The 12,031-nt window shown below is 40.9% G+C and overlaps 1 protein-coding gene across 9 annotated transcripts in view; it reads left to right on the top strand.

Moving 5' to 3' along the window:
• TOM1L1 (target of myb1 like 1 membrane trafficking protein) overlaps nucleotides 1-12,031 on the top strand; it is a 61,105-nt gene that overhangs the window by 27,777 nt on the left and 21,297 nt on the right. For 6 of the 9 annotated variants that reach the window (XR_243612.4, NM_001321175.2, NM_005486.3 and 3 more), the window contains 4 exons: nucleotides 1,445-1,578; nucleotides 8,021-8,081; nucleotides 8,481-8,598; nucleotides 10,296-10,392. Coding sequence is in view for 8 of the 9 variants with exons in the window: in NM_001321175.2 (NP_001308104.1) it covers nucleotides 1,445-1,578; nucleotides 8,021-8,081; nucleotides 8,481-8,598; nucleotides 10,296-10,392 (410 nt within the window). In the remaining variant the exon portion in view is untranslated. Of the gene's footprint in view, nucleotides 1-1,444; nucleotides 1,579-8,020; nucleotides 8,082-8,480; nucleotides 9,406-10,295; nucleotides 10,393-12,031 lie in introns of those variants that run through there. The other 3 variants (XM_047435068.1, XM_047435067.1, NM_001321173.2) reach the window with 2 other exon arrangements.

Genomic DNA, 12,031 nt, shown 5'->3' on the forward strand with positions numbered 1-12,031 from the left:
GCAGCAAAGACTAGATGGCCCACAAAGCAGAAAATGTTTACTATCTGGAGCTTTAAGAACAACACTGTTGACCCCTACACTATACTGTTGCTGAAGATGGCCCTGTGGTTGGCAAATAGGATGGTTTTTCTGGCCGCATGTTGCAAGTCTAAAATCAGAAAGTCTATCATCTGTCTGACTCACCTTTTTTTTTCTCTTTATGTCATGTTGTCTTTTCAATATTTTTTGTTATGATTTTTTAGAGGGTAGTGGCTTTTACCTCTGAGTCTAAATGCCAGTTAGTAATAGTTTGATTTATTTGTTTAGAGATTTCCTGTCAGCAGTCTTGTAATAGATTGTTTGAGATTCTGAATGGTTTCATGAAGCATACATACATTTTTCAGCAGGTCTTTCTTTCTTGAGGGGAAAAAGTCAGCCGATGTGATTGTGCAGTGTTTAAGGAAGTTCTGTTGCTTTCATTTTGAGAGAAGCAGCATCCCTGTGTTTTGCTTGATGTTAATGTACTATTACACAGACAAAACTCTAGCCAAGGTGGGATTGGAAATATTAATATCAGTTTTATGTACCTTGGGTTAATCGAAGGTGTGCCTGGAAAAAAAGTCAGTTGTAAGGCAGAAGTTCTTAAATATCAGTGTACATAAGAAACACTTTGGAGTGCTTGTTTTAAAAAAATGTAGATTTTCAGACACCCAGCCTGAAGATTCTGGATCAGTAAGTCTAATGTAGATGGCTCTGATGCTTATGAGAAAAAAAAAAAAATGGGTTTGGGAGGTTGAGTCATGGTTTAATGCAGTATTTCTAGGTAGTCCAAATAAGGGTATTCATGATTTGTTTGTTAATCCTGTTTTAGTTTGCCTCAAAATGTGATATAACTATAAACTTTAAATGTTTAAGTACAACGTAACAGGAAATAAAATAATGCCACTGTAAATGTATTTTAACTACTTCTGCTACTGCTAATAATGCAATAACATTTTATGTTTATGCTTTATAGTTATAGAGTTCCTCATTACACACATCTCATTTGATTTTTATGTCAACCCTTGAGGTAGATGTGGCAAGGGGTATAATTTTCATTTATCAATGAGAAAACTGAGATTTAAAAAACATGTGTTTTTTTTTTTTTTTCCCCAACATGGCACAGCTAATAAGCACTACATTTAGAATTCCCATACAACACTTCTGGGTTTTAGTCCAGTATTATTTTCAATGTACCATATTATTCTTATGACACCTATTTTGATTTTTAAAGGAAAATATAATCAGTTTATGACTCACTGCCTTCCAATAGGAAGGATAAGCTGTTTATAGTTAAGTACTTTGGTAGTGCCCCACAGGCTACTTAACGTGGAGGTGACTGTAGGTATGCGCAGATTGGTGAGTCAGATGTCTTTATAGAATGTTCCAAGTGTGGAAGAAGAAATCTCTCTCCTTTCTTTGACAGAAACTCTATAAAACAGGTCGGGAGATGCAGGAGAGGATCATGGACCTGCTTGTGGTGGTGGAGAACGAAGATGTAACTGTTGAGCTAATTCAGGTGAATGAGGATTTGAATAATGCTATCCTTGGATATGAGAGGTGAGCAGATCATGTACCCTCTTTACCCCTCTTCCATTTCTACTTTCACCACCAATTACTCAGCATTCTTATCAGAGTGCCTACAAGTGACCCCTCTTTCTAGATTCTCCATTCTCAATAGGAAAGGTATTGGCATGTGGGGTGGGACAGTTTTCCCTTGTACAGCTCCTACTCAGTAAATGCTAGAGGTCTTTCTCCTAGTTAAAGTGACATTTCAGCCCAGCATGGTGGCTCCCAGCTATAATCTCAGCACTTTTGGAGGCCGAGGCAGGAGGATCACTTGAGCCCAGGAATTCCAGACCAGCCCTGACAACATAGTAAGACCCTGTCTCTACAAAAAATAAAAAATAAGGCCGGACACGGTGGCTCACACCTGTATCCCCAGCCCTTTGGGAGGCCAAGGTGGGCAGATCATTTGAGGTCAGGAGTTCGAAACCAGCCTAACCAACATAGTGAAACCCCATCTCTACTAAAAATACAAAATAATTAGCTGGGCATGGTCGCGCATGCCTGTAGACCCAACTACTCAGGAGGCTGAGGCAGGATAATTGCTTGAACCTGGGAGGTGGAGGTTGTGGTGAGCCAAGATCATGCCACTGCACTTCAGCCTTGGCAATAGAGTGAGACTCTGTCTCAAGAATATAAATAAATAAAATAAATAAATAAAAAATAAAAAAAATTAGCTGGGTGTGGTGGTCCTAGTAGGTGCTTATAGCCTAGCTACTAGAGAGGCTGAGGTGGGAGGATAGCTTGAGACCAGGAATTTGAGGCTGTGGTGAGCTATGATCGCATCACTGCACTCCAGCCTGGGTGATGGAGTGAAATCCCACCTCTAAAAGAAATAATAATAAAATGACATGTTAAGACACCCTTAGGGGCAGTGTTTCTGTTGAGAATTACTGGGAATCTCTACTTGCACAGTGACCGTATTTCTAATCAGCTGATAAAGAATGAGACCAGTATGACATAAGGGAAAGAGGTGAACAGGCCTGGATTCAAATCTAGCTGATGATTTTGGATAAGTTGCATAACTTTTCTAAGATTTAAGTTTTTTTCTTTCTTATTTTTTTGATGTATTAAATAGGATAATAATACCTTTTTAGAGGGTTGGGCTTTTTTTGAGGATTAAATGAGATAATACATATGAAAACACCTAGCAGAGTGCTAGCACATTGACATCCATTAAATAGTAATTTCTTCTCTTCCTCTGCACCGGTGTCCCATTTAACCTTTACATTTATTGACTAGGTTTTTCTTCCCACTTATCATGAGTGAATTAAGAGAAACCATGAAATAAAGCCAGTATTTATGGGCCAAGAATGGTGGTGCACACCTGTAATCCCAGCACCTTGGGAGGCTGAGGTGGGCGGATTACTTGAGCTCAGGAAGTTTGAGACCAGCCTGGGCAACATGGTGAAACCCCATCTCTATCAAAAAATTACAAAAATTAGCCAGGCATGGTGACACACGCCTTTAGTCCCAGCTACTTAGGAGGCTGAGGTGGGAGCATCTCTTGAGCCCAGGAGGCAGAAGTTGCAGTGATCCAAGATCGTGCCACTGCACTCCAGCCTGGGTGACAGAGTGAGACCCTGTCTCAAAAAAGAGAAACATAAAACCAGTAGCTATTAAATGGTAGTTTCTTTCCTTCACTGTCTCATATTTACTGTCAGAGAAGGGCATCGACTGAAGATGTAAGCCTAGGAACCATGCTTGCTTTCTTTCTTTCTTTTTCTTTTTTCTTCGTTTTTTTTTTGTTTGTTTGTTTGTTTGTTTTTTTGAGATGGAGTGCTTAGGCTGGAGTGCAGTGGCACGATCTTGGCTCACTGCAACCTCCACCTTCTGGGTTCAGGCGATTCTCCTGCCTCAGCCTGTAGCAGGACGAGCCGCAGACAAAACTCCTCAGACACTGAGTTAAAGAAGGAAGGGGTTTATTCGGCCAGGGGCATTGGCAAGACTCCTGTATCAAGAGCCGAGCTCCCCGAGTGAGCAATTCCTGTCCGTTTTAAGGGCTCACAACTCTAAGGGGGTGCGTGTGAGAGGGTCGTGATTGATTGAGCAAGCAGGGAGTATGTGACTAGAGGCTGCATGCACTGGTAATTAGATCGGAACAAAACAGGATAGGGATTTTCACAGTGCTTTTCTCTACAATGTCTGTAATCTATAGATAACATAACTGATTAGGTCAGGGGTCGATCTTTAACTACCAGGCCTAGGGTGTGGCGCCGGGCTGTCTGCTTGTGGATTTCATTTCTGCCTTTGAGTTTTTACTTTTTCTTTCTTTGGAGGCAGAAATTGGGCATAAGACAATATGAGGAGTAGTCTCCTCCCTTAAGCCTCCCAAGTAGCTGGGATTACAGGCACACACCATCATGCCTGGCTAGTTTTTGTATTTTTAGTAGAAACGGGGTTTCACCATGTTGCCCAGGCTGGTCTTGAACTCTTGACCTCAGGTGATCCACCCTCCTTGGCCTCCCAAAGTGCTGGGATTACAGGCGTGAGCCACCGCGCCTGGCCACCATGCTTTCTTTCTTAGCACTGAAGAAACTCACAATTGTTACTCTTGTTTTCTGTGGAACAAATTTTTATAAGCAAAAAAATATCCAAGGAAAACCACATTGTTTTCAGTAGAGTGCTGCCTTCTGGCTTTCATTTTGGAGAATTCTATTGCAAACCATGAGACCATTGCCTAAAGGCTTCCTTCAAGGGGGAACTTGTGTTTATTTGGTCTAGCTCTCAGGAGATTGGATTACTTCTGTGAACAGCTTGTTCTGACTGGGCTTTGAACCCTGTGTACCAGAACAACTGTGAAACACTTACATCCTAAGATTCAGAGAGAAACTCTTGCCTCTAGAAAGATACTAGTCTCCTAGTTTTCTCTGGCTGCTGTCACAAATTCACACAAACTTAGTGGCTTATCCTCTGTTTTATCCACTTTTGGACGCTCCAGAGGAGAATCCATCTTCCTAGCTTTTGCAACAGCTAGAGGCTGTTCACTTTCCTTGGCTCATGGCCCCTTTTCTCCATCTTCAAAGCCAACCATGTCTAGTTCAGGCCTGATTATATCATATCACTCTTACTTCCACTTCTGCCTCTCTCTTCCACCTTTAATGACCTTTATGACTACATTGGGTTCATCTGTACAGTCCCAGATAATCTCCCAATTAAGGGCAGCTTACTAATGTGAACCAAAAGTATCTGAGACAGGTCTCAATGAATTTAGAAAGTTAGTTTTGCCAAGGTTAAGGATGCACCTGTGGCACAGCCACAGGAGGTCCTGACAACATGCGCCCAAGGTGGTGGGGGCACAGCTTGGTTTTTTGTTTTGTTTTGTTTTTGAGACAGAGTCTTGTTCTGTCACCACGCTGCAGTGCAGTGGTGCGATCTTGGCTCACTGCAACCTCCACCTCCCGGGTTCAAGTGATTCTCCTGCCTCAGCCTCCTGAGTAGCTGGGACGACAAGCGTGTACCACCACGCCCAGCTAATTTTTGTATTTTTAGTAGAGACGGGGTTTCACTATGTTGGCCAGGATGGTCTCGATCTCTTGACCTCGTGATCCACCCACCTCGGCCTCCCAAAGTGCTGGAATTATAGGCGTGAGCTACCACACCTGGCCATCCACAGCTCGGTTTTATACATTTTCGGGAGATATGAGACATCAATCAATATGTGTAAGATGTACATTGGTTCCATCTAGAAAGGTGGGACAACTCAAAGCAGGGAAGGGGGCTTCCAGGTTATAAATAGATAAGAGACAAATGGTTGCATTATTTTGAGTCTTTGATCAGCCTTTCACGGAATACACAATTTACGTGTGAGAAGGGGCTAGAGGAATAGTCACTCATGCCTTAGTCTGGCTCAGTGAATCTGCACTTCTACATAAGCAGTAGGGCAGAGGAAGCAATTGAGTTCTGTCCTTTGTCCTGTACTTATGAAGATAAGCTATCAGTTTATATTGCCAGGGTGAGATTCAGCAGAGCTGTTTTAGGGTAAAGATCTTGAGGCCCACAAGGAGTTTTCTCTTAGGCAAATTGTGGGAGAGGTAGGTAGCTTTTTATCTTTGTAGCTATATTATTTAGGAATAAAATTTGCCTGACGCAGTTCCCAGCTTGACTTTTCCCTTTGGCTTAGTGATTTTGGGGTCCTGAGATTTATTTTCCTTTAACACTAGCAAACTTCATTCTTTTTTCAACCTTTAATTTCCCCTTGCCATGTAACCTAACATATTCACTGGTTGTGTTTACTAGGATGTGGGTACCTTTGTGAGGGTGGGCGTTACTGTATCTATCACAGTCCACTCTCTGGCCCCTAAAGATTCATATCCATCCACTTGCAAAATACATTCACCCTATTCCAACATCCCCCAAAGTCTCTGCTCATTACATCCAGGGAATAGTTGTGCAAATAAAGAAATTGAAATTTGTCACTCAGGGCTTGATCTAGGAAGGTTGTTCATACCCAGCACATAACTGACTAGAATATAAGAAGCTAGTGCTATAACTAGATGGATTTTTTTTTTTTTTTCTTTTTTGAGATGGACTCTTGCTTTGCTGCCCAGGCTGGAGTACAGTGGCATTATCTCAGCTCACTGCAACCTCCGCCTCCCAGGTTCAAGCGATTCTTCTGTCTCAGCCTCCCTGGTAGCTGGAATTAGAGACACATGCCACCACGCCCAGCTAATTTTTGTATTTTTAGTCAAGATGGGGTTTCACCATGTTGCCCAGGCTGGGCTCAAACTCCTGACCTCAAGTAATCCACCTGTCTCAGCCTCCCAAAGTGCTGGGATTACAGGCATGAGCCACAGTGCCTGGCTGAACTAGGTGGAATTTAAAACACATATTTTTGAAAAATCATTCAACTGTGTGTGCAGATTCTGTCACGCGTGAAGAGACCACCAAAGAGGCTTTGTGTGAGCAATAAAGCTGTTTATTTCACCTGGGTGCAGGGGGGCTGAGTCCAAAAAATGAGTCAGCAAAGGGAGTTAGGGGTGGGGCAGTTTTATAGGATTTGGGTAGGTAGCGAAAAATTATAGTCAAAGGGGGTTGTTCTCTGGAGGGCAGGGGCAGGAGTCACAAAGTGTTCAGTGGGGGAGCTTCTGAGCCAGGAGAAGGAATTTCACAAGGTAATGTCATCAGTTAAGGCAGGAATTGGCCATTTTCACTTCTTTTGTGATTCTTCAGTTGGTTCAGGCCATCTGGATGTATACCTGCAGGCTTGGGCTCAGAGGCCTGATTCAGTATAAACTCTTACACTTTAAAGTGTTTAGGATCCTGAAGTCAAATTGTCATAACAGTAATACTATATGTTTCTAAAGCAAATCTCAGTTTACAAAGCATTTCCACGTTCATCCACCTGTGCTATCTAGTTTTGCCCCTGAAAATAACTTTCTGAGCAAATAGTTCAAATGTTATTCCCTCTTAGCAGCTGGGGCACCAAGGTTCAGGAAGTCATACCCTTAGTCATATAGCTACAAGGTACTAACACTGACACTTAAACTTTGGACTTTTGCCTTCAACTTCTCTGGTCTTTTACGTTTATGCTCCTTTACTCTCAGTGGACAATGTAAAATTAAATCAGAGTTGTAGAAGGTCAATTTTTTGGTATGTGTTAAGTGTCTTATAAAAATACACAGTGAAGGCCGGGCGCGGTGGCTCATGCCTGTAATCCTAGCACTTTGGGAGGCCGAGGTGGGCGGATCACCTGAGGTCGGGAGTTCGAAACCAGCCTGACCAACATGGAGAAACCCCGTCTCTACTAAAAATACAAAAATTAGCTGGGCATGGTGGCACACGCCTGTAATCCCAGCTACTTGGGAAGCTGTGGCAGGAGAATTGCTTGAACCCGGGAGGCAGAGGTTGTGGTGAGCCAAGATTGCACCTTTGTATTCCAGCCTGGGCAACAAGAGCGAAACTCCATCTCAAAAAAAAAAAAACCACAGTGAAATAGTGAAAATACTTTAAATATATTTGAATATTTTGGAAAATTACTTATAATGGCAAAGTAGAAAACAAATAATCACTAATAGAGTGGTTAAAAGTGTGATAGATTCATAAGGTAAAATATAGCCATTAAAAATTGTATTTCAGCTAGAAAAATTCTCACAGCATACTCAAATTAGGATACAGAATTATGTAAAGTATCCTTTCAACTAAGCTTAAAAATAGATGCACTTATAGATGAAATACTGGAATAATGTTAATAGATTTAACAATTTCTGGGTGATGAGTTTTTTTTAAATACTTTTCTATTTTCTCACAGTTTTCTCTGAGGGTATGAATACTCTGTAAGCTGGAAAAAGGTTATTAAAAGTATTTTACTGATAATTGTGTGAGGATGAGGCTGATTGTCTTCATTCCTAAATATTTGTGTATTAATAATTGTTAGATTTTTATAGCATTTTCATATATTTTTTTAAAAACACATGCATTTTGATCATTTAAACAGGTTTACTAGAAACCAACAAAGGATTTTGGAGCAAAATAAGAACCAGAAGGAAGCCACCAATGTAAGTGATGAGAAATGTTATAAAATAAACAATTGAACATTTTGCCAATTACAGTGAGAAGCAAGGCTTACCTAAAACAAGTCTTAAAAAGAGGAAGATATGCATTCATAATTTGGAGTGGTTTTAATGGTATAGATTACTTGCCTTAATAACTTAATGTTATTAACGTTAATGTTAAACTGTTAATGTAATGTAAAGTTAATGTTATGAAGTTATTAATAAGAAGCAGGAACCTATGTAGGTGGTAAGATGGGATTCATACTAATGTTGCTCGTTGAGTGGAGAATTCTTCCTTAAAATGCATCCAAATAGGATCCTCCCCTCTACAAAGGAGAAAGTATGGGGAGAAAGCTGTGATAAACTACATGACACTTTTTTTTTTTTTTGCTTTGTTTTCAGACTACCAGTGAGCCTTCTGCCCCATCTCAAGATCTCCTCGACCTAAGTCCCAGTCCCCGGATGCCTAGGGCCACTCTGGGAGAACTCAACACCATGAATAATCAACTTTCAGGCTTAAGTAAATAAACACTCAGGTCTTTTCAGACCAGCAGAAGAGCTTGATGTTAAACAGTTCTCCTTAATTACGTGATTAAATACCACCTAAGAAGGACTGAAGTCAGGTTGAATGTCAGAGCGCTATGTTAGGAGATGTGATTACTTCCCGGCAAATGGTTGAGTCAAACCCAGTATAGCAATGGGATGTGTCTGGGCGAGGAGGTCCTTGAAACTCATCCTACTCACTTAGAATCTCATGGAATTCACCTGGCCTGCTTTGTAGAAGTTGTTCAGCCCAATGGCCAATACTTAAAGTCTACTGTGAACCTACACACTATTATCATTGGGTTTTTCTGCTATACCTCAGCATCAGGTAAGGGAGTATCTCTGATGCAAGCGGAGAAATTCAGGGATTACAAGGTATGAACTGAGTGGTTGTGAAATGTAGAAGGAAAAACACAGGCTTTAAAGTCAGAGAAGTCCAAGTTGAAATGCCAGTTCTGCCACCTCTCAGCCACCTAACTTTTGAGAGTCTCACTTTATAAAATGGGAACAATGATTGCCTTAAAGGGTGGTTGTCAAGGTTAACAAACTAATGTTTATAAAATGCATTGTAGCAAAGCTTACAATGCATTTTATAAACATTTATAAAAGAGTTACCTATCTTACCTGTTATCTTCTGCTGTCCTTATTCCCAGCAAGGGTTTGGCAAATTACAAAATAAGGATGATGAAAAATGCTGAAATCCAGTTTTGTCAAATTAAAAGCAGTTTGTTTTTCTCATATGTCATCTGCTGTTTCCGGAGTAAAAATATTCAGTATCACTGAATTTGTGGTTTTCTTAGAACTCTACTCAGTTCTAAAATGTTGGCTACTTGTTTATGTAGGCCAGTGGGATGTGTAGAGTCAGTTACATTGGAGAGTTTTCCTGAGTTTTTAATTGAGAATTTTCAGAGGGGGAGGGAATTATTCCCTTTGGGGTATCTCACTTAAGATTATGGCCTGGAGGCCAGGCATAGTGGCTCACACCTATAATCCCAGCACTTTGGGAGGCCGAGTCAGGTGGATCACCTGAGGTCAGGAGTTCGAGACCAGCCTGGCCAACATGGCAAAGCCCTGTCTCTACTAAAAATACAAAAATTAGCCGGGAGTGGTGGTGGGCGCCTATAATCCCAGCTACTCAGGAGGCTGAGGCAGAAGAATCACTTGAACTCAGGAGGTGGAGGTTGTGGTGAGCCGAGATCGTGCCACTGCACTCCAGTCTGGGTGACAAAGTGAGACTCCATCTCAAAAAAAAAAAAAAAAAAAAAAGATTATGGACTGGAGCTTGAGGTGAAGGTAGAGCTCAGTATGTACTGTAATTTTTTACTTTTGTGCTAGGCAGAACAAGATGTAAAATCCTTTGCATTCTGGATCAGCTTGGGATTTTAGAAAATCCAATACAATAATATTTGTTACCCTTACAACAACTTCTTCTCATGGCAGGGAAATTCTTTCTCTCTCTACCTACCATAAATGATGCTTTTTAATTTCTCTTAGAGCTAGGAAATCTCATGATTTTAGGGTGACAGAAATATCTAAATTAATCTCTTTTATTTGGTGGGTTTTTCTTTTTTTTTTCTTTTTCTTTTTTCTTTTTTTTTGTTTTTACTGTAGAAAATCCAGCATAACTGACTGACAAAATGTTTTAAAGCCAAACAAGTCCATTTTGTGTTTTAGATTTCAGCCTTCCAAGTTCTGATGTAACAAACAACTTAAAACCCAGTCTTCATCCACAGATGAACTTGCTAGCCTTGGAGAATACAGAGATACCCCCGTAAGTATGTCAGTAACACTGCAGAACTAATATCATGACATTTAGATTCCTTACAATTAAGAAAACCTGATGGCTGGGCGCAGTGACTTACATCTGTAATCCTAGCACTTTGGGAGGCCAAGGCACATGGATCACTTGAGCCCAGGAGTTTGAGACCAGCCTGGGCAACATGGCAAAACCTCATCTCTAGTAAAAATACAAAAATTAGTTGGGCATTGTGGCATATGCCTATAATTCCAACTACTTGGGAGGCTGAGGCATGAGAATCACTTGAACCTGGGAGGTAGAGGTTGCAGTGCAGTGCAGTGCAGGCGATATAGCACTTGGTACATAGTAAGCCTTCAATAAATTGTCTCTGTTTATTTTTAGTAGTAACAGGAGATGGGGAAGAACAGGGGAAATACAATGACAAAGGAGGCAGAAGAGCAATGAGGTTCAAAATTAAGAGTAATGGCCCCATCAGTTACAGGGTACTTGCTGTGTGGCAGGCACTCAGTTAAGCTATTTTTGTTTATTTCATCTAATCTTCACTAAAGTACTTAGGTCAGCGATGTTAGGTCAGGGTCTTGCTCTGTCACTCAGGCTGGAGTACAGTAGCACCATTATAACTCACTGCAGCCTCAAACTCCTGGGCCCAAGGGATACTCCCACCTCAACCTCTTAATAGCTGGGACTACAGGTGTGCGCCACCATACTGGGCTAATCTAATTTTTAAAATTTTTTGTAGAGATGGGGTCTCGCTTTGTTGCCCAAGCTGGTCTTGAACTCCAGGCCTCAGGTGATCCTCCCGCCTTGGCCTCCTAAAGTGAGCCACTGCACCAGCCTGTTATCATTATTCCCATCATACAGGAAAAGAGACTGAGATTTCTTGGTCATTTCTCTATTGAAGGAACTAGAACTTGCCCAAGTTTGTATAGCCAGTAAGTAGCAAGTCTGATGGACTGATAGTCCAATATTAAAATTGGACTAATAAAACCTGATGGAGTAGCTGGAACCTCCTGAGTAGCTGGAATTATAGGCATATGCCCCAATGCCCAACTAATTTTTGTGTTTTTAGTAGAGGTGAGGTTTTGCCGTGTTGCCCAGGCTGGTCTCAAACACCTGGGCTCAAGCGATCCATGTGCCTCGGCCTCCCAAAGTGCTAGGATTACAAGATGTGAGCTACTGCACCCAGCCATCAGGTTTTCTGATAGTCCAATATTAAAAAGAAATATTAATGACCTATAAACATATGCAATGATGTTCAACTTTACTTATAGAGAAATGTCAATTAAAGTCTAATAAGAAATTGTTTTCTACTTCTCAGGTTGGCAAAAGTCCCAATATTTCATAACATACTTTGTTGGCTATGGAAAGACAGTTACTATGACAAAATTATGTAACTCTTATAGGGGCAGGTGGCAATATCTATTAAAATTATAAATGCATTTATTTCTTTGAATCTGCAATCTTATCTGTAGAAATTTATACCACACTTACACACAGTTAGGTGTTTACAAAATTATTCTTTACAACATTTTGGGCAATAGCAAGTAATTGGAAACAACTCAAAATATCCCTCAGTTGGGGACTGGTTAAATAAACATCTGTACAACATATTACTGTCTAGCTGGGGGATAAAAGTAATAATCACCAATAT

This window comes from Homo sapiens, chromosome 17, assembly GCF_000001405.40.
Source record: "Homo sapiens chromosome 17, GRCh38.p14 Primary Assembly".
NCBI classification, from domain to species: domain Eukaryota; kingdom Metazoa; phylum Chordata; class Mammalia; order Primates; family Hominidae; genus Homo; species Homo sapiens.